This window comes from Homo sapiens, chromosome 1 (assembly GCF_000001405.40).
Source record: "Homo sapiens chromosome 1, GRCh38.p14 Primary Assembly".
Classification (NCBI taxonomy): domain Eukaryota; kingdom Metazoa; phylum Chordata; class Mammalia; order Primates; family Hominidae; genus Homo; species Homo sapiens.
This window is the reverse complement of record NC_000001.11, coordinates 210,880,727-210,904,095: the sequence shown is the minus strand read 5'-3', so window position 1 is coordinate 210,904,095 and position 23,369 is coordinate 210,880,727. Positions and strand designations below refer to the sequence as shown.

General features: G+C 41.1%; 1 protein-coding gene across 5 annotated transcripts in view, besides 1 other annotated feature; it reads left to right on the top strand.

Annotated features, from left to right (window-relative positions):
- The window catches only part of KCNH1 (potassium voltage-gated channel subfamily H member 1), a 455,835-nt gene that overhangs the window by 230,053 nt on the left and 202,413 nt on the right, over window positions 1-23,369 (top strand). The window lies entirely within an intron of this gene.
- Window positions 19,083-19,283: a silencer, noted in NCBI's record as "peak680 fragment used in MPRA reporter construct". NCBI's record gives its function as "represses an SCP1 promoter by STARR-seq MPRAs in K562 erythroleukemia cells {active_cell/tissue: K562}" and the evidence as "EXISTENCE:reporter gene assay evidence [ECO:0000049][PMID:32103011]".

The window sequence follows — 23,369 nt, the reverse complement described above, 5'->3', positions numbered from 1 at the left end:
CACCGTTCCTTAGAGGCTTATAAGTATGTTTTCTGGTCAGGTACATGAAGAGATTGCAGAACAGGAGAACTACTAAGATACAATAGCCCTTTCTATGCCCACTGCAGCTCACTGTTCTCCAAGATTAGGTGTCCTTGGCTTGGCTATTCTCTCTCTTAGGGGCGAGAATGGGAAAGCAGAGAATGAGCATCTGGAGTGGGGCCAATTCTGTTTGTGTCCCCAAGGAGCAATTTTGCTTTTCTATGCCTCTGTTTTACCACCTGATGATAGGTAAAGTAACCTTCATCTCTCCCTTCCTGAGAGGCAGAGAGTTGGTAGTAAATTTGAGATCTGCTCTGCAGTATTGGTCCAGGACTTTCCAGAGAGGTCTTTAGTGGAGAAAACATTGAGAGGTGACTTGAGGTGTCAACCCTTATTCCAATGGGAAAGTGAACAGGATCTTAATCTTTTGATGATGATATTTCATTTTTTCTGTTTATTATGAATGCCTGCTTTATACCAGGTACATCATAGGTATTTCTTGGCAGCAAATAGACGATTTTTTACCCTGAGCCTGTATATCCATGAAAAAAATTTTGCTATTTGTTGATATAATGAAATACATACTATATTCACCATCCATGCTTAGAGTGAGTGGTAGGAATACTTTTAATGACATTAAGAGGCCATGAGCCCTTCCCAAGTCCTGCCAGAGAGGTTGCTAATTTAATGCCTGTCTTTGACAAGTATATTTTATCCATTCATTTAAAAAAATTTAGGGCTGATAGATGCTGAGATAAATAAAACAAAACTTCCAGAGGCAGCAGTCTAAGAGGGGACAGACAAGTACATATATAATTTGATACGGCATGAGAAATTCTGTGGTTGTAGTTAAGTATGGACTTCCAAAGGAAGAAGTGGGTAGAAGTGGCCTAAACTAGTCTTTGGAGTCAAGGAACAATGGACATTTACTGTGACCTAAGTTAGCCAGATGAAAAAAAAAGAGAGATGGCAGGGCATGGAGGCAGACCAGAGAACCCAGTGCATTTGAGGAGAATGAAATGCATTCACATAGCTGAAATGTAGGGGAAGAGAGCAACTAGCTACAATCAAAGCAAAAGCAGAAAATAGGGGCTACTTTTGAAGGGATCTATGTGCCAAAAAGCTTATACTTTCTCCTGAAGGCAGGAGGAGGTATCCAGGACTTTAAGCAAGGAATATTATTTTAGAGATTGGATAGAAGAGGAGCAAGATGAAACGCAGACATGACAGGAAGTTTTTGTATTATTTTAGTGGAGAAACAGTGATTGTCTGAGCAAAGGCAGTGGTAGTGGGAATGGAGAGAACTGGAGGGATTCCAGAAATCTTAAGAAAGTAGATGGATAGCTCTTGGCAGTGTCACTGACTGGGGACAGAGTGTGCCGCTTTACTATGGAGGGCCCACTTCACCACGGGCTTCCTTCTCAGCAGGGCAGGTAGATAATGGCATTTTAGCAGTGCCTGAAACCACCACTTTCAGCCATATGGCGGGTCTGTGGGTGGCTGGGCAGCAACAGTGGGAAACAGACGGGCTGCCCGGCAGCAATGATGAATGGGCACATCTCCTGAAGCCAAGACTTCCCTTTTAGCCTCAAAACAGAGCCAGCTTCCTCCCACCACCATGTGCACAGAGGTGTGAGGGCCCAGGGGTCACCAGATGGTGTTTTTGGCCACATCTGCTCATGCAAATAGAGACCATGGTCAGCAGCAGAGCAGCATCTTAATTTGTTCTCTTTTTCCTGCAGTGTCCATTGCTTGAGACCCTCTGGGCTAAAACTGAAAAAATGCTGTGTCTTGATGGAATTATTTTACTAAAGGAACAATTGGTCAGATCCTGAGAATCACTCCTCAGCTATTGGCACATGTTGGTTTTGTCTGCTCTGCAGAGTTGGGAACCACCTGCTCCTGGCGGGAAGGTTGCGGGTAGGGGCGGGTGCCCTCTCCTCTTCCCTCCCCTCATTGGTTGACTTACTGGCATTTGATGTTTCCTTGGAGTCTGTTCATCCTGGTCTTCCTGGGGCCCCTCCACTCTTCTGAGCTGCCCACATGTAGCCCAGCATCCTTAGTGAGGCCAGCTTTTAGCACTGCCTGTGAGATGTGGTATTTAAGGAATGAAGCTGTGCAGAAGAGCCAGGAAAAGGTATTTTGAAAGTGAGGTGTGGTTTTCAGAGGTCAAGGATTCCAAGCTATAGGAGATACTGTCCCTACCCCAAGAAGCTCAGTATCCAAGTGATTATTAGATCCTGTTACATAAAACAGATAAATGGAATATAAGACACTGTGTGAAACTATTCTTCTCTTTCTCAAGATCAACAGGCTTGCCTTGAACTGCTAAAGCAGCTCTTCCTCCTAACTTTCTTAACTTTCTTAGTAGTGGCACTGACTTCCCAGCTCCCAGGCCCCATGCCCCATCTCCAGCCCCTGGACCTTTTCCCTTTTTTTCTGCATCATTTTCTGCCTGAAAAGTCAGCATCCACAAGACCCTTGGTGTCTTTCACTTCTTCAGGTTCCCATTATTACACCCCCAATCTTGGTCTGCATCACTCCTCATGGGAACAGTGCAGAGCCTCCTGATTTTGACTCTCCACTTCATGTGTTCCGCTCTGCCCACACCATCCCACACATCCCCATCCAACCTGACCACCCACTGCCATGTGGAGAGTCACTTGGAGGCAGAGTCCTGTGAGGAGGATGTTGTAGTTGCCCAGGTGAGAACTGAGGTGAGCTCTGATGATGGTGGTGGCAGTGCAGACGGAAAGAGGAAAATCCAGGATGGATTTTGGAGGTGGGACCAACAAGACCAGGTGATGAATTGGCTGTGGTAGGGTTGGGGGCAGAGCATTTGTGAGACTAGTATCTTACATAGACCTGGGTTCATGGAGGTGTACTAGGTGTGGAAGTGGGGGTAGAGGTGCCATTTAGGGGTAGATCATGAGTTTGAGTTTAAATATGTTGAGTTTGAGCTATCCAAGAGATGTAAGTAGAGAGTTGGCTTATGGGGCTGGGGCTAAAGAGAGAGGATTGGTCAGAGATATAGATCTAGAAGCCGTTGGCATGTAGCATCTGTTAGGTCCAGATGTTAATTGAATATGTACTATTAGATGCAGCTTTTCTACCAAAGGTCTTGGAGGGAGGGGTGTCTGTGTTTTATTTTTGCTAGGGTAATGTGAGCTGTGTGTGACTATAACACGGTACTAAAGTTGGGCTTCTTTTTGTCTGGCTAGGTTGAGGAGAAGGAGGATGGGAAGAATGGAGAACAAAGCACTATCTGGATTTAAAGAAAAAAGCCTGTCAGTGAGGAGAACCCTATTATTCCTGTAACCATTGTGTACAAAGATTATTGTGGCTCTTCTGCCACTCTGCAGAAGAGATGGGCTGTGTGAGCAGTGCAGAGGCTCTTCTTGTTCCATCGTGACCTTGGCCCACTGTTTATGCACCAGAATTAGTAAGGTGGCTAATTGCACTGAATCTGCATCTGCACTACCACTGGTCTAGTTATTTTCCCTGCCTATGCCCAGAGTTCTGTTCCAGAAAGTCTCTAAACAAGCTCAACATACCCAAGTGCTTCACACCTCCCACAGCCTTCCCTAGCCCACCATGCCTCACAAAACATATTTGTCCTTTCAAATGAAACAGTAATCTTGGCTTATCTAGATTCAAAAGTTCAAAGATGTATGTAGCTGAAAAATAAAGAAACCAACAAAAAGAACTTGTAAATGCCTTTCTGCTCAGATGAACTGTCTGAACAGCCCCAGCTCAAGTTCTGATAGGAGCACCGGGGATGATTTGTGCCAGATACTCTGTTGCCCTTCCCAGCTCCCTTGGTACGTGAATGGGGATGGCTCTGAGCAAGACTACTTTCCTTCCAGGCATTGCTGTGTTTTTGAACTGCTTTGTATTTGTGTATTTGTTTAAATCTCTCTCTGCCTTTTCACTATCTCTCTCTTCTTAAGCTCCTTAAGTGGAAGAATTGAGTTTACCTTGTTTACCACTTGTTCTTAGGGCACAGTATAGTGCCTAGGAGGCAAGAAGCATTTAGGACTAACGAATTATACTCATTTACTACCCCTTTATCCTAAAATTTCTTCCCTCACGATGGGTCTTTTCTATTATCTATTATCATGGATTTAGTTTTTTAGAAATCTGACTTTAATATGTACCTTTGTGGTATTGACTTTTGGAGAACTAGATAATGATTAACAGCCTGGGCCTTAGCATTTGACAGACATAGGCTTGAATTCTGTTCTGCTTAGCTAATGGCTGTGAGACCTTGGGCAAGATGTTCAACTCTCTGAGGCTCATTCTCCTCATCTGCAAAATGGAATATGTTTTTGCCTTAAAGTGTTAAGAAGATCACATGAAGTCACAAATATAAACCACCTAGTAGAATGCCTGGCCCACCAGTTAGTGGAAGTTAAACACAAATACATTTTGAGAGCTTGTCTTTGCCATTGTTCTTTTATATCAGTGGTTCTCATTTTTTTGGTCTCAAGACTCCCTTATAATCTTAAAACATTATCAGAAATCCCCAAATCCCAAAGAGCTTTTGTTTGTATGAGATAATGATAAAAATATATATATATATATCTCATAAGTGAGATATATATCTCAATACATATTGTTTTAGAAGTTAAAACTGAAATTTAAAAATCTATTCATTTAAGAATAAGAGTAATAAAGTTATTGCATGTTGACTATCGGCATATTTTTAGAAATAATTTTGTGTCAAGAGTGCTGTTCTTTTAGACTTTGAAAATCTTTTTGACCCTACCTTAATGAATGAAGCTGGAATCTCATATCTACATCTGTATTCAGCCCATTGCAATATTACATACTATGTGGTTTCTGGAAACTCAACTCACTGTACATTTGTGAGAGAATGAGAGTCAAAAAGGACAGTAATGTCTTAGTTTTATTAGGGAAATAATTTTGAATGTAAGGACCCCTGAAAGGGTCTCAGGGAATCTCTAGAGTTCCTGGTCACACTTTGGGAATTGCTTTCTAGACACTGGGTTCTATAAAATAGGGTCATAGTCGGATATTTAGGGTTAACCTGAACAAGTGACTAATGAGACTGATTAAAAACCATTGTGAGCCCAACCCTGGAAGGCACTGTTAGAATCTGAGTCTGAGCTTCCTTAATTCACTCTTTGCTTCTTCCCCAACACCCAATCAGGTAGACAGCTCTCTTCAGCTTAGCTTCTCTATTTGTTCTGTCTTTACCTGAGTCCAGGCCCTCATTACCCCACACCTGAATGTCAAGCCAGGCTTCTCTTGGGTGTGGCAATTTGATACAGGAGAAAGAGCATTTTGGAGTCGCTTAGACCTGGCTACAAATTCTGGAATCATTTACTGTGAGGTGTATCTGTAAAAGGTGGTTGACAGGACCCCCCCCCGCCGCCACGCCTGCCCCCTCCAAGGGGTCTTGCGGTTCTAAGTGAGATTATGATGCCACATGCCTGACACAGGCCTGGCTCACAGTGGGTGCTCAGCAGTGAGTTCTGCTCCTTTCCTAGGCAGTCCCAGCCAGTTCACTCTCTGGACTGTCAGTAAGCCCCATACTTCTGAATCCCTGAGGTGTCTAAAGCCAATATTATACACATTTACCACTCACTTGCAGGTTGTATGTTTCTTATCTTCTGTGCCTTGTTTCTCAAGACTGTAAGCCACCAGAGGGCAAAACCATGCCTGTTAATGTTTCTGTACCTTCTGTGGGGCTGAGGTTTATAAATATTTATTGTTTCGAGTAGAATAATTAAATGGCATATTTTTTTGCCCTTGACAGATCCCCAGTGTGGTGGGATGATGTATTCCATTTGTATAAGGCAATATAGTCATACTTAAAAAGTATTATTATAAACAAGTGACAATCAGCAGGCAGGTCAGCTCCACAAACGACAGAGATACCTGCCACAAACACTACTGTTTAACAAAGAAGGTTTCCAAGTCTTTGTTAATGGTAGACATATTTTGAGTATTTTTCAATATAATGCAATCCACAGGGAAAGAGAAAAGAATGTAGTGCCTTAGAATTGTTTAGAAAGGCATTAGACTAAGCCAGATGTTCCTGGAGGAGGCAGCTGAAAGGTGGTCCTGGCCAGCCACTACACAACCACTGCCACTTACCCCTCCAGGGGTCTTGCCATCTCAACAGTCTTCCTAGCCCACTCTTAGAGCCCATAGACTTGTGTCTCCTTCCCATCTTGGAGCATCAGCTCGCTCTCTTCCTGCTTCTGCCTCTCAGCTTCCTCTGTACCATACCCTTTAAAAGTGCCCCAGATGGCAGGAGACAATGCAAAAGAAGCTGTCCGAAGGTTGGTTTTGCTTTTCACTCTTCTAGTGCTACTATCCCTCTCCCTACATTCCCCAAAGGCAGGTGAGCATGCAAGGCCTGGTACCTTCTTGGAGCAGGGGAGAGAAAACCATAGCAAGAGCAATACAAATCCAAATTAAGATCTCAGTAAATTATCCTGTCTTATTTAAAAATCACAGTAGGGCTCTTGTCTGATTTCATATCCAGGGGAGCCTGTTGGAGCTGCTGTGGAACAGAGGGCAGGGGTGTCCTCATCACTGTGTCTAGGAGAACACACTTAATTTCTTTCCCTACCCATGCAGATGTTTGAGGTGAAGGCAGTCTCTAAAGTAGATCCTATGTAAGCTCCCGTTGGTTTGTAACCAACCCAGTCAGAGTAGGTACTTATTTTTCTTGGTTTTAAAGATTTTTAAGCCAGACACTCCATTATCTCCCTCGCCTACTTAGTTTTATGTTCAGTCCATTGAGCTCCATCTTCTGCTCTTAGATAAGAGGATTTCTACTTCTCTTTTCTGGTGAAGGAAGCACAAGTGGCCAACCTTCTTTTCATAATGGTCCCTCACTAACTTGAAGACCAGCTTCTTACCATCCATTACATCCAGATCACTGTGGTTATGTTGCCCTTTGAGTTATCGAGGAGTTAGTGCACATAGTATGGGCTTAGTGAGAGCTCACTACTGATCCCATTGTGAGTGGAGCAAAGCCCCCTGGGCCATGGAGTGCTCCTTCCAGAAGACCATCCCATTTAGAGGTATGAAGCCAGTCACAGGCAAGGATATGTCTGCCAAGACCAAAATACACTTGTTTAGAAATGCTGTAGGGATGTGCTATCAGGAGGTTCCTATTCTAAAGCTGTTTGCTGGAAGACAGAAAAAGATGGCATTTTGTAACTGTACAGCCATACACAACCTCCTCCATGGGGTAATAGGAAGGAAAAGTCTGTTTTTTTTTCTTACTTTTATTTTCTTCACTTGTTCCTTGTTCTTTGCTCCTCCCTCTCTTTTCTTTCTTCAACCTTTTCTTCTTTCTTTGTGTATCAGATTGACATGAATTCTAAAGAAAAGCTAAACTTTCCGCTGAGTTGCTAGACACCAGAAACCCAGAATGTTCTGGAAAGAGCCTCCACTTTTAGTCGATATTATTGGTGTATATGTAAAATATACTCACTTCTTCAGGGATTTAGCTGAGGGTCTAGGGTCCAGCCAGGACTCTGTACTTATTCTGTCTGCTTACTGTTCATATTATTCTCCTCAGCCAGTCTATCTAATGTAGATACAGAAAAAACAAAGGAAGAAAACCCTTCAGTCTCCTTTTTAAAGGCATTCTTTGATGTTACGTCTATCACAACTTTGCCCTGAACTGCTTAGATGGTTTTAGGGCTACTGTCTACAGCCTGGTCACTTCTCAGGTTTTTTCTAGGGTTTATATTTTTGATGGTAGGGGTTTGTCAGTAACATTTTTTTTTTTAAAGATCCCGTACATTGATGACACCAGCTTCATCACTTACCTATGGTTTAGAATGGTTCAGGTCAAGGTCTTAGAATTAAGGACTAGGAAAACCAACTCATACTTGACATCTAATCATTGTGGATTTTAGTTCCCTTACATAAAATGGGGGAGCATGGTCCTATACCAGCTAACATCCAAGAATGGGGAGGATTGAAATTGTTTGCATAAAAACTGAGATTGTTGGTATAAAACCTCCTACATGTTTAGCTGTTATTAAGTTTCTTCTCACATACCCTACTCTGATAAGCAATACCTGTAACAATTGTTGACATCCTAAATTACTCAGAATCTCTCGTGGTTGTCTGCAATATTACCGTAGGATTGCTTATCTGATGATCTGTCTGTGTTAATCTCAGCTGCAGTATGGTTTAGGATGTGTCTATGTAAATGCATGTGCCTGAATGTGATATGGCGTTGTTGGAAAAGCAAAAGCAGAGAGACAGTCCTGCCAATCTAGGTCCATCTTTTTGGTAGCCACGTCCAAGAGTATTTTTTTTTTTAGTCTGAGAAATATCTCCTGCTTGAAACTATATTCTGTCTTCTGCTCTCAACTTTTATCCCTTTCCTATGTTTCCTGATGTCTGTCTGTAGACCCCTGTTGGTAATGGGTATGTGTGGGAAGATAATTATGGGTCAGAGAGGCCTTCTATTGCCAAGGGGAGACATGGTACTTCATCTCTCATCCTCTTCCTCCACCTAAACACCATTTTAACTTTTGCTGCCTTGTTAGGAATGTATTAGAGGATTCCATGTTTTATAAAGGGATAAACCAGAGGAGAGGGCCAAGATCCTGAGATTCTGTAAATATCCAATGGACCACTCTTGCCATCCCCATTGTAATTGAGGCAATGGAAAAAGGTAGCCTACATCTATGATATAGAATTAATCTTTGTTAATTATTATTCCATCTACATTGTGTGCCATACATGTGTGAAGATGTGAAAATGAATAAAGCACAGACCTTACTGTTAAGGAGCTCAGAGTCTAGTAGAAAGAGAGATGCATAAATCCAGTGTTAAAAGACACTGTGATTAATTTGTCCAAGGTTATATAACAAAGACCAGATTTACCCTCTTGCCTGAAAAAAAAAAAAGGAAACAAAAGTAAACAGAAAGCTTAACAAAATATATAAAACAATACTTTCAAGATACTGGACATCAAGTAACAAAGGACAATGATCCCTAAGATGCAGGAAATAAATGAAGTTAGCCCTATGATTACCCCAGTTTACTGCCTTGAGAGAATTTCTGCAACCTGGTTGGAGAACTCAGTCAGAATCTGAGGAAATGGAACTGAGAGTGTGGATCTGATGAAGGCAGCTAGATATGACAGAGGAGAGTATTGTCTTGGCCTGTTTTCTGCTACTAAAACAGAATACCACACAGACTGGATAATTTAAAAAGAAAAGAGTTTATTTAGCTCATGGTTCCTCCAGAAAGCTGGGAAGCCCAAGAGCATGGTGCTGGCATCTTGTTAGGGCCTTCATGATGCATCATAATATGGCAGAGGGCATTACATGGTGAATGGGCAAGAGAGCCAGAGAGAGCTCATTTTTATAATAAAGATACTCCAATAATAACGAACTCATTTTCAAGATACTGGCATCAATCCATTCGTGAGGGCAGAGGGATTACGTTTTCAACACATGCACTTTTGAGGGACATATTCAGACCATAGCAAGTATCAAATAGGAGAGGGCTGCACAAAGAGAAAACTAGGAAGATACTGCAGAGAATCTTCCTCAAGCCTTCAATAGATAACTAATCAACCCTTGTGAATGAAGAAACTGCCCAAAGCTAGGAGAAGAATGACCCAAAAGGATTATTAAAAAACAGTGACTGGTGCTTGCACAAGGTTGGGAAGAAGTTCAGTTCCCACCAGGCCAGCTGTATTGACGGGACATTGGATTGAGTAGTCAGAAGGGTCTTTCCTTGGCAGTGGGAAATAATTGTCCCTAGACTAAATAATGCTCTGGGTCCACTTAACAAATCTTAAAGGTAAGACTCAAAGGATCAAGTTGTTTCCAAATAATTTAACTGTGTTCCAGAATAAAGCTCAAAAATACGTGTAGGAATACAAAAATATCCAGTACCCCAAAAGTCCTATTCACAATGTCTGACATTCAATAAAAATGACCAATTAAGCAAAGAAAGAAGAAAATACAGTACATGATGAGGAGAAAAATCAGTCAGCCAAAACTGACTCAACCGTTACAGGTTTTTAGAAGTAGTAGGCAAAGACATTAGTTATTATAACTATATTCCATATGTTTCAATATTTAAGTAGAGACATGGTAAATTTTTTGTTCAAATCAAGCTTCTAGAGATGAAAAAGCATTGTCCAAGATAAAAAATGCATTAGGTAGGATTAATGGCAGAATTGACACTAGACATCACAGAAGGGAAGATTAATACACTTGAAGACACAGCAATATGCACTATCCAAATAAAATACATAGAGAGAAAAGAATTTAAGAAAAATGAAAGAGGCTTCGAAGAGCTATGACACAACTTTACAGGGCAAATATACATATAATTGGAGTCTGCAAAGGATGAGAGAGGGAAATCTTTCTGAGCCTACTCTGGCTTGTGAGGCTGCTTTTATAATTTAAAAAATAAAAAGCAAAGGATGAGAGAGACAGAGAGAAAGTAGAAGCAATATTTGAAGAAATAATGGCTGAAAAATCTTCAAACTTGATGAAAAACATGAATTCACAAATCCAAGAGCCCAGCAAACCCCAAGCAGAAGAAACATGAAAACACACAAAAAACCTATGGCAAGGTACATCATAAAAATTTCAAAATCAGTGATAAAAAGAAAATCTTAAAAGCAAACATAGGAAAAAATATATGCTATGTAACAAGGAACAAAGGCATCAGATTTCTTGTTAGAAAGAATGCTAGAAAGAATGCAAGTAGAAAACAATAGAGCACCATCTTTAAAGTACTAAAAGAAAACTATCAACCTAGAATTCTATACCCAGCAAAAATCTTTCAAAACCAAAATTTAAGTGAAGATATCTTAGACATGTAAAATCTGAAAAAAGTTTGTCATTAATACACCAGCACTATAAAAAATGTAAACAGATGTCTTTCAGACAAACCAAAAATGATACTGAATGAAAATATGAATCTCTGTAAAGGAATGAAGAACACTAGCCTTTCTGCCTGAACTTTCTTCTCTTCTTTTGCTAACTCCTGCCAGTCCTTAATGACTCAGTTCAGATGACTACCACTTTTCCTCCGACCCCTTAGAATGGAATCAGTATCCCTCCCAAGGCTCTCTGTGATTACCTCCTACGTTGCATTTATCATGATAATATAATTGTCTACTTGTATAACTCTTCTAGGAATTTATGAGCTTTAGGGCAGGGACTATATATACTGATAACTGGCACATAGTCAATGATCAACAAATGCTTATTGAGTGGATCAGTATTCTGAATTAAGACATGGCAGTGGCAATAAGACAGAAAGGGCTTTGCCTGGGAACACTTCTTGAGGCAAGACCAATTAAGACTTGTCAAAGGTGTTTGGGGATAGTAGATTCCACTGTATTATTGTCCAAACTTTAGTTTTTTGGGGTCCATTTTTGCCATTTTTGGGTCCATATTTTTTTGGGTCCATTTTTACCAAAGTTCAACCTGTATTACTTTTTGACTCAGTATTACTTCTTAAATGAACTCATACATTTTTACATAGATAAATGTGTTTTTTTAAAAAATATGGTGTGACCCATGCTGGGATGGAGGCATGTGTGGGGGAGCTGTCAGTGAGGGTGGTGACTGTCTGCCTCTGAGAGACAAGGAAGGCTTTGCTGTTGCTTGCATAAATGAGTGACTGAAAGAAGGAATGAGGTGCAATTTTAATAGCTCTAAAAGGAGAAACTGGCATTTCTTCAGGCAGAAAAGGGGGAAAGACTAAACCTGGAAGAAGGTACTGATAGGCAAAAGCAATGAGGCTGTTTTAGAAATGAGTTTCAGGCATCCAGGGAATGGTGTGACTGTGGGACAGGATATAAGGGTTGTTTTTTTTTTTCATATATATATACTTTAAGTTCTGGGATACATGTGCAGAATGTGCAGGTTTGTTACCTAGGTATACACGTGCCATTGTGGTTTGATGTACCCATCAACCTGTGATCTACATTAGGTATTTCTTCTAATGCTATCCCTCCCTTAGCCCCCTGACCGCCTGACAGGCCCCAGTGTGTGATGTTCCTCTCCCTGTGTCCATGTGTTCCCATTGTTTAACTCCCACTTATGAGTGAGAACATGTGGTGTTTGGTTTTCTGTTCTTGTGTTAGTTTGCTGAGAATGATGGTTTCCAGCTTCATCCCTGTCCCTGCAAAGGACATTAACTGATCCTTTTTTATGTCTGCATAGTATCCACGGTGAATATGTGCCACATTTTCTTTATCCAGTCTATCACTGATAGGCATTTGGGTTGGTTCCAAGTCTTGCTATTGTGAATAGTGCTGCAATAAACATACATGTGCATGAGTCTTTATAGTAGAATGATTTATAATCCTTTGGGTATATACCCAGTAATAGGATTGCTGGGTCAAATGGTATTTTTGGTTCTAGATCCTTGAAGAATCGCCACATTGTTTTCCACAATAGTTGAACTAATTTACACTCCCACCAACAGTATAAAAGCATTCCTATTCTCCACATCCTCTTCAGCATCTGTTGTTTCCTGACTTTTTTTTTTTTTAATTATACTTTAAGTTCTAGGGTATGTGTGCACAATGTGCAGTTTTGTTACATATGTATACATGTGCCATGTTCGTGTGCTGCACCCATTAACTCATCATTTACATAAGGTATTTCTCCTAATGCTATCCCTCCCCCTTCTCCTCACCCCATGACAGGCCCTGGTGTGTGATGTTCCTCACCCTGTGTCCAAGTGTTCTCATTGTTCAGTTCCCACCTATGAGTGAGAACATGTGGTATTTGGTTTTCTGTCCTTGCAATAGTTTGCTCAGAATAATGGTTTCCAGCTTCATACATGTCCCTACAAAGGACATGAACTCATCCTTTTTTATGGCTGCATAGTATTCCATGGTGTATATGTGCCACATTTTCTTAATCCAGTCTATCATTGATGGACACTTGGGTTGGTTCCAAGTCTTTGCTTTTGTGAATAGTGCCGCAATAAACATACGTGTGCGTGTGACTTTATAGCAGCATGATTTATAATCCTTTGGGTATATACCCAGTAATGGGATGGCTGGGTCAAATGGTATTTCTAGTTCTAGATTCTTGAGGAATTGCCACAGTGTCTTCCACAATGGTTGAACTAATTTACACTCCCACCAACAGTGTAAAAGCAGTCCTATTCTCCACATCCTCTCCAGCACCTGTTGTTTCCTGACTTTTTAATGATCGTCATTCTAACTGCTGTGGGATGGTATCTCATTGTGGTTTTGATTTGCATTTCTCTAGTGACCACTGATGATGAACTTTTCTTTCATATGTTTGTTGCCTGCATAAATGTCTTCCTTTTATAAGTGTCTGTCATATGCTATACCCACTTTTTGATGGGGTTTTTTTTTTCTTGTCAATTTGTTTAAGTTCCTTGTAGATCCTGGGTATTATCCGTTTGTCAGATGGATAGATTGCAGACATTTTCTCCCATTCTGTAGGGTGCCAGTTCACTCTGATGATAGTTCCTTTTGCTGTGCAAAAGCTCTTTAGTTTAATTAGATCCCATTTGTCAATTTTGGCTTTTGTTGCCATTGCTTTTGGTGTTTTAGTCATGAAGTGTTTGCCCATGCCTATGTCCTGAATAGTATTGCCTAGGTTTTCTTCTAGGGTTTTTATGGTTTTAGGTCTTACATTTAAGTCTTTAATCCTTCTGGAATTAATTTTTGTATAAAGTGTAAGGAAGGGGTCCAGTTTCAGTTTTCTGCATATGGCTAGCCAGTTTTCCCAGCACCATTTATTAAATAGGGAATCCTTTCCCCATTTCTTGTTTTTGTCAGATGTGTCAATGATCAGATGGTTGTAGATGTGTGGTGTTATTTCTGAGGCCTCTGTTCTGTTCCACTGGTCTGTATATCTGTTTTGGTACCAGTACCGAGCTGATTTGGTTACTGTAGCCTTGTAGTATAGTTTGACATCAGGTAGCCTGATGCCTCCAGCTTTGTTCTTTTTGCTGAGGATTGTCTTGGGCATATGGGCTCTTTTTTCATTCCATATGAAATTTAAAGTAGTTTTTTCTAATTCTGTGAAGAAAGTCAATGGTGGCTTGATGGGGATAGCATTGAATTTATGAATTACTTTGGGCAGTATGGCCATTTTCATGATACTGATTCTTCCTATCCATGAGCATGGAATATTCTTCCATTTATTTGTGTCCTCTCTTATTTCCTTGAGCAGTGATTTGTAGTTCTCCTTGAAGAGGTCCTTCACATCCCTTGTAAGTTGTATTCCTAGGTATTTTATTCTCTTTGTAGTAATTGTGAATGGGAGTTCACTCATGATTTGGCTATTATTGGTGTACAATAATGCTTGTGATTTTTGCACATTGATTTTGTATCCTGAGACTTTACTGAAGTTGCTTATCAGCTTAAGGAGATTTTGGGCTGAGATGATGGGGTTTTCTAAATATACAATCATGTCATCTGCAAACAGAGACAATTTGACTTCCTCTCTTCCTATTTGAATACGCTTTATTTCTTTCTCTTGCCTGATTGCCCTGGCAAAAACTTCCAACACTATGTTGAATAGGAGTGGTGAGAGAGGGCATCCCTGTTCTGTGCTGGTTTTCAAAGAGAATGCTTCTGGCTTCTGCCCATTCAGTAGGACATTGGCTGTGGGGTGGTCATAAATAGCTCTCATTATTTTGAGATACGTTCCGTCAATACCTAGTTTATTGAGAGTTTTTAGCATGAAGGTCTGTTGAATCTTATCGAAGGCCTTTTTTGCATCTATGGAAATAATCATGTGGTTTTTGTCATTGGTTCTGTTTATGAGAGGGATTATGCTTATTTATTTGTGTATGTTGAATCAGCCTTGCATCCCAGGGATGAAGCTGACTTGATCGTGGTGGAGAAGCTTTTTGATGTGCTGCTGGATTCAGTTTGCCAGTATTTTACTGAGGATTTTTGCATCGATGTTCATCAGGGATATTGGCCTGAAATTTTCTTTTTTTGTTGTGTCTCTGCCAGGTTTTGGTATCAGGATGATGCTGGCCTCATAAAATGAGTTAGGGAGGAGTCCCTGTTTTTCTATTAATTGGAATAGTATCAGAAGGAATGGTAACGGCTCCTCTTTGTACTTCTGGTAGAATTCAGCTTTGAATCTGTCTGGTCCTGGGTTTTGTTTTGGTTGTTAGGCTGTTAATTACTGCTTCAATTTCAGAACTTGTTATTGGTCTGTTCAGGTATTTGACTTCTTCCTGGTTTAGTCTTGGGGGGGTATATGTGTCCAGGAATTTATCCACTTCCAGATTTTCTAGTTCATTCGCATAGAGGCGTTTATAGTATTCTCTGATGGTAGTTTGTATTTCTGTGGGATCAGTGGTGATATCCCCTTTATCATTTTTTATTGTGTCTATTTGATTCTTCTCTCTTTTCTTCTTTATTAGTCTGGCTAGTGGTCTATTTTGTTAATCTTTTCAAAAAACCAGCTCCTGGATTCATTGATTTTTTTGAAGGGTTTTTTATGTCTCCGTCTCCTTCAGTTCTGCTCGCATCTTAGTTATTTCTTGTCTTCTGCTAGCTTTTGAATTTGTTTGCTCTTGCTTCTCTAGTTCTTTTAATTGTGATGTTAGGGTGTCAATTTTGGATCTTTCCTGCTTTCTCCTGTGGGCGTTTAGTGCTATAAATATCCCTGTAAACACTGCTTTAGCTGTGTCTCAGAGATTCTGGTACCTTGTGTCTTTGTTCTCATTGGTTTCAAGGAACTTATTTATTTCTGCCTTAATTTTGTTGTTTACCCGGTAGTCATTCAGGAGCAGGTTGTTCAGTTTCCATATTGTTTTGTGGTTTTGAGTGAGTTTCTTAATCCTGAGTTCTAATTTGATTGCACTGTGGTCTGACAGACTGTTTGTTATGATATCTGTTCTTTTGCATTTGCTGAGGTGTGTTTTACTTCCAATTTTGTGGTCAATTTTAGAATAAGTGTGATGTGGTGCTGAGAAGAATGTATATTCTGTTGATTTGGGTTGGAGAGTTCTGTAGATGTCTATTAGGTCTGCTTGGTCCAGAGCTGAGTTCGCGTCCTGAATATCCTTGTTAATCTTCTGTCTCATTGATCTAATATTGACAATGGGGTGTTAAAGTCTCCCACTATTATTGTGTGGAAGTCTGAGTCTCTTTGTAGGTCTCTTAGAACTTGCTTTATGAATCTTGGTGCTCCTGTGTTGAGTGCATATATATATTTAGGATAGTTAGCTCTCCTTGTTGTGTTGATCCCTTTACCATTACGTAATGGCCTTCTTTCTCTTTTTTGATCTTTGTTGGTTTAAAGTGTGTTTTATCAGAGACTAGCATTGCCACCCCTGCTTTTTTTTTTTTTTTTTTTTTTGGCTTTCCATTTTCTTGCTAAATATTCCTCCATCCCTTTATTTTGAGCCTATGTGCATCTTTGCACATGAGATGAGTATCCTGAATACAGCACACCGATGGGTCTTGACTCTTTATCCAATTTGCCAGTCTGTGTCTTTTAATTGGGGCATTTAGCCTGTTTACATTTAAGGTTAATATGGTTATGTGTGAATTTGATCCTATCATTATAATGCTAGCTGGTTATTTTGCCTGTTAGTTGATGCAGTTTTTTCATAGTATCTATGGTCCTTACAATTTAGTATGTTTTGCAGTGGCTGGTCCCGGTTGTTCCTTTCCATATTTAGTGCTTCCTTCAGGAGCTCTTGTAAGGCAGGCCTGGTGGTAACAAAATCTCTCAGCATTTGCTTGTCTGTAAAGGATTTTATTTCTCCTTTGCTTATGAAGCTTAGTTTGGCTAGATATGAAATTCTGGGTTGAAAATCATTTCCTTTAAGAGTGTTGAATATTGTACCCCACTCTCTTCTAGCTTGTATGTTTCTGCTGAGAGATCTGCTGTTAGTCTGATGGGCTTCCCTTTGTGGGTAACCCGACCTTTCTTTCTGGCTTCCCTTAACGTTATTTTTTCATTTCAACCTTAGTGAATCTGAAGATTATGTGTCTTGGGGTTGCTCTTCTTGAGGAGTATGTTTTTGGTGTTCTCTGTATTTCCTGATTTTGAATGTTGGCCTGTCTTGCTATGTTGGGGAAGTTCTCTTGTATAATATCCTGAAGAGTGTTTTCCAACTTGGTTCCATTCTCTCCGTCAATTTCAGGTACATCAATCAAACATAGGTTTTGTCTTTTCACATAGTCCCACTTTTCTTATAGGCTTTGTTCATTCATTTTCATTCTTTTTTCTCGAATTTTGGCTTCACACTTTATTTCATTAAGTTGATCTTCAATCTCTGATATCCTTTCTTCCGCTTGATCGATTCAGTTACTGATACTTGTGTATATTCACGAAGTTCTCGTGGTGTGTTTTTCAGTTCCATCAGGTCATTTATATTTTTCTCTAAACTTGTTATTCTAGTTAGCAATTCATCCAACTTTTTTTCAAGGTTCTTAGCTTCCTTGCATTGGGTTAGAACATGCTCCTTTAGCTCGGAGAAGTTTGTTATTACACACCTTCTGAAGCCTACTTCTGTCAATTTGTCAAATTCATTCTCCATCCAGTTTTGTTCCCTTGCTGGTGAGGAGCTGTGATCCTTTGGAGGAGAAGAAGCATTCTGGTTTTTGGAATTTTCAGACTTTTTGCACTAGTTTTTCCTCATCTTCGTGGGTTTTTCTATCTTTGGTCTTTGATGTTGGTGACCTTCGAATGGGATTTTGGTGTGTAACTCCTTTTTGTTGGTGTTGTTGCCATTCCTTTCTGTTTGTTAGTTTTCCTTCTATCAATCAGGCTGCTCTGCTGCGGGTCTGCTGGAGTTTGCTGGAGGTCCACTCCAGACCCTGTTTGCCTGGGTATCACCAGCAGAGGCTGCAGAACAGCAAAGATTGCTGCCTGTTCCTTCCTCTGAAAGCTTTGTCCAGAGGGTCACCTACCAGATGCCAGCTGGAATTCTCCTATATGAGGTGTCTGTGGACCCCTGCTGGGAGGTGTCTCCCCATCAGGAGGCATGGGGGTCAGGGACCCACATGAGTAGGCAGTCTGTCCCTTAGCAGAGCTCAAGTGCTGTGCTGGGGGATCTGCTGCTCTCTTCTGAGCCAGCAGGCAGGAGTGTTTAAGTCTACTGAACCTGTGCCCACAGCCACCATTTCCCTCAGGTGCTCTGTCCCAGGGATATGGGAGTTTTATCTATAAGACCCTGACTGGGGCTGCTGCCTCTCTTTCAGACATGGTCTGCCCAGAGAGGAGGAATCTAGAGAGGCAGTCTGGCTACATTGGCTTTGTGGCACTTTGGTGTGCTTCGCCCAGTTTGAACTTCCCTGCAGCTTTTTTTATACTGTGAGGGGAAAGTAGCCTACTCAAGGCTCAGTAATGGTGGACGCCTCTCCCCCTACCAAGCTCAAGTGTCCCAGGTGGACTTCAGACTGCTGTGCTGGCAGCAAGAATTTCAAGCCAGTGGATCTTAGCTTGCTGGGGTCCATTGAGGTGGGATCCACTGAACTAGACCACTTGGCTCCCTGGCTTCAGCCCCCTTCCCAGGGGAGTGAATGGTTCTGTCTCGCTGGTGTTCCAGGTGCCACTGGGGTATGAAAAAAAAAACTCCTGCCCAAATGGCAGCCCGGTTTTGTGCTTGAAACCCAGGGCCCTGGTGGTATAGGCACCTGAGGGAATCTCTTGGTCTGCAGGTTGTGAAGACTGTGGGAAAAGCATAGTATTTTGGCCAGAGTGCACTATTCCTCACAGCACAGTCCCTCAGGGCTTCCCTTGGCTACAGGAGGGAGTTCCCTATCCCTTGTGCTTCCTGGGTGAGGTGATGCCCCACCCTGCTTCTGCTCACCCTCCGTGGGCTGCACTCACTGTCTAACCAGTCACAGTGAGATGAGCCGGGTACCTCAGTTGGAAAGCAGAAATCACCCGCCTTCTGCGTTGATCTTGCTGCAGACCGGAGTTGTTCCTATTCAGCCATCTTAAGAAGATCCTGATATAACGGGTTTATGGTCAGATTCTATTCTTGGCCTCAGTCCTTATCTGTGTGCACTGGTAGTGCCTACTGAAGGCAAATAGGAAAAGTGTGGCTTCAGATACTTAGTTAAATTGAGAAATCACCCTTCAGAAGTTTGAGTAACTGCCTAAGGCTCTGTAAGTGAACTTCAGCCCTGAGTTGGTCCTGGAAGGGTAAAGTTGACTCACAGTAGGCCATTGACTGACTTCTTTCTCTCTGCCTGGTGTCTCCTCCAGAAGGGATGGAAGACAGTCTTCTGAATATGCCGTTAAGCCATCAGTTCAGGAATCGCGGTACAAACTGGCATGAATGTCTGGCAGAGAGCAGGGCAATTTGTGGAGAGATATCTAGCAGCTCTTCCAGCACGGCTTTGGTAGGGGAGTGACTGCCTCTCTGAAGCAAGTATGGTTCCAGGCCAGGCCTGGGGAGAGTGAACAGGCAAGGAGGATGGCAGACAAATTTCTTGGGTGCTGCTGCTCTTCTCTCACCAAAAGTACATGGGGAGTAATCCTGAGGTTGAGGAAAGATCATTCTAGGATCTGAAGTCAGGTCTGAGTTTGAGGGCCTAGCTCCATGACTTATAAATTATGTGCCTTTGGGTAAAGACATTTAAGCTCTCTGAACTTTGGGATCTTCCTCTATAAAATAGAGCTGAAAAGAACTTATCTGCCTACCTCATGGGATTCTCACAGGCTCACTAAGATAATAGATACAGGAATGCTCTGTAAACCTCCAGACAGGCTGCAGGTGCTAGTTGTGTAGGAAAGAGAGGATCCTCTCAAGTAACAAAGCTCTTTTGAGAAGGAGGTTGCTTTGATGTAGATACCACATTGTTGGACTTGATGCTATTGAAGCCAAAGATGCCTGTGGTGGGGCTTAGTTTGTTCTTGGCATTAGAGTGAGGAATGTTGACAACTCTGTCCCTTTCAAAGGGTAATGACCATGGCTCTATGCATGCACGTGCCTATGGGTGCAACAATTTCTCTGCCATGTTTTCTTTGCTCCCTAGTTCTTTTTCTGTGCATGCGTCTCACTAGATCTGACATAGGCATCCAAGTACAGGGACATGGATTAGAGCTGTTAGTGTCTGTAGAACTGAGAGGCTGATGAATCATTGTCCAGAGCATGGGCTGGGAGGAAGAGGTTTGCCTCAGACCAGATGTAATCTAGGCCCTTGGTTTCACCATCCAAGTTTAATCATTTGATGAATCTTGTTCAGTCATTTATCAGTGTAATAAATTTCTGTTGAACATCTTGTATTTCTGAGTCTATGGATATTCTGTCTCTTTTCCTGGACAGTTCAACCTCCACCAAGCTTGCTTGGCGTTAATGAAAATGGGCTGTCCAAGACAATACCACAATCCTGTGAATTTGTATAGCTCTTTCTTTACACATTACAAAGCCTTTTGCATGACTCTTCTTAATCCTCTCAATAACACTATGAAGTATAAAATATAATTTATATGCACTTTAAGCCAGGCTGGCTGGGATGCAAAGAGATTAAGCAACCTGCTCAAGGTCACATAGCTAGTAAATGGTGGAGTCAATATTTAAACATAGTCTCTGGTTCTAGAATCCCCATGCCATCCCATAACAGGACATGAAGCAAATTGTGCCTTGTCTATGAAGAAGGCCAACAATTGTTAGGATACATGCTTTGTGTTATTGTTCTAGTGCCAAGAATGTGTTCATAGAGAAACTCCCCCACCCCCAGATCCATTCTGGTCCCTCTGGTGATCAAGGGCCAACATGCCTAAGACAGGGAGACTAGGTTAGCCTCACATATGTTAGCCAGGAAAGAAGAGCTTTTCTCTATCAGAAGCAAAACTCTGTTGGCATCCTTTGCCTTCATTAGCACACATTTGCTGCTCTAAGGTGCTGAGCTTTCCACCTATGACTTCATTTACATTCATTTCTCTGCAAAAGCCTAGACCTCTGGATTGGAAGTTTTTCTAAATGCTCCCTCCCCCACCATCATACCTAGCACTTGTCTCTGGTCTATTGGATTTGTAATTTAGGAAGAGAACCAGGTGACTTCATTTGTTAGGGTAGGATTTATTCATTATAACCACCACCACAGCTACTGGAACTTATTACTCATTCTTCCGTAATGCATTCCTGTGGCTGCATACTTCACAGTCTTTTTCACAGTTTTTATGTTTTTACTATGTATTAATGATTCAATTTTGCAGAGTGATAATGTGATGACGCTTTTGCTTCTCAGGGCTGAAAAGGTTTAGAGATTTTGCCTGATGTGGCTTCTAATTAGGATGTAGTTTAGATGCAAGCATCGATTTCTTCTTTCCAAACAAAGAGAAACACCTCAGCAATCCTCCAGCGAGCACATTCAGCCTGAAAAGAAAATGATTTTCCCCTCCTACTCCTCATCCTCCTTATGTTTGTGCTTTCTTCCTCCTCCTGGCTGCTCACAAGTACACCAAAAGCATCTCTGACTCATAGCAAAGGAACCAGAAAGTTCCTCTTCTAGTCTTAAAAGTTCCATACTTTAAAGTAAAGGGGGCGGAGGTGGGTTTGTCATGTGAGCCTGTTCTGGCATCTGCAAGCCTCCGTCTATCTGAGCACTGTTGATTTCCGAGGGCTATTTTTGATCCTGAAATCTGGGGAATGAGTTTAGATGTTATACAATGGCGGTGGGATAAGGTGATTCTATCTAGAGCTGACTTTCTCTGAAGCTATCCTGATATTCTCTCCTCCCTTGATGGGAATTTAACTTTTTTCTCCCACACCCAGATGAGGATGACCCTTGCTCAATCTCCATTTGAGGAATATTGCTTACCTGCTTGGTGTCTGTACCCATGACTACACGTGTCTGTGAAAACCACTTACTTTGGGCACCTCTTTAAATTTTTTAAAAATTTTATAATAGAATTTTATTGTTTAGAGTGATTTTAGGTTCATGGCAAAATTGAGTGGAAGGTACAGAGATTTCTCATGTATCTCTTACCCCCACCCATGCACAGCCTCCACCATTATCAATATCCCCCACCTGAGTGATATATTTGTTAAAATTGATGAAACTACATTGACACATCATTGTCACTCAAAGTCCATAGTTTACATTAGGGTTCACTCTTGGTGTTGTACCTTCTATGGGTTTGGTCAAAAGTATAATGACACATATTCACTATTACAGGATCATACAGAATAGTTTACTGTCCTAAAAATCTGTGCTCTGCCTATTCATCCCTCTCATCCTTCTAACTCCAGGAAACATTTGATCTTTTTTCTGTCTCCGTAGTTTAGCCTTTTCTAGAATGTCATATGGTTAGAATCATACAGTAAGTAACCTTTTCATATTGGCTTCTTTCACATAGCAATGTACATTTAAGTTTCCTCTATGTCTTTTCATGGCTTCATAACTCATTTCTTTTTAGTACTGAATAATATTCCATTGTCTGGATGTACGATAGTTTATCCATTCATCTACTGAAGGACATCCTGGTTGCTTCCAAGTTTTGGCAATTATGAATAAAGCTACTGTAAATATCTATGTGCAGGTTTTTGTGTGGGCATAAGTTTCCAATACATTTGAGTAAGTAGTATGATACCAATCATAACAAGTAGTAGGATTGCTGGATTGTATAGTAAGAGTATGTTTAATATTGTAACAAATCACCAGACTGTCTTCCAAAGTGGCTATACCATTTTGCATTCCCACCAGCAATGAATGAGAGTTCCCATAGTTCCAGAATCTTACCACATTTGATGTAGTTAGTATTCTGGATTTGGGCCATTCTAATATGTGTGTAAAGATGTCTTCTTATTGTTTTGGCTGGGCATGGTGGCTCACACCTGTAATCCCAGCACTTTGGGAAGCCAAGGTGGGCAGATTACTTGAGCTCAGGGGCTCAAGACCAGCCTGGGCAATGTAGTGAAAGCCCATCTCAACAAAATATACAAAAATTAGCCAGGAATGATGGAGCATGCCTTGGGAAGCTGAGGCACGAGAATCGCTTGAACCTGGGAGGCAGAGGTTGCAGTGAGCTGAGATTGCGCCACTGCACTCCAGCCTGGGTGACAGAGTGAGACTCTGTTTCCAGAAAAAAAAAAAAAAATATTACTGTTTTAATTTGAATTTCCCTGATGGTATATGATGTGGAATATCTTTTTATATGCTTACTTACCATCTGTTTATTGTCCTTCATAAGGTCTCTATTAAGTATGGCCCATTTTAAAATCAGATTTTATTTTTATTTTTGAGTTTTAGAGTTCTTTATTTATTGCGGGAAACAGTCTTTTATCTAACATGTCTTTTGGAATTTTTTCCCCCATTTTGTGGCTTGCCTTCTCATTCTCTTGACAGTGTCTTTGACAGAGGAGAAAATTTTAATTTTACTGAGGTCCAC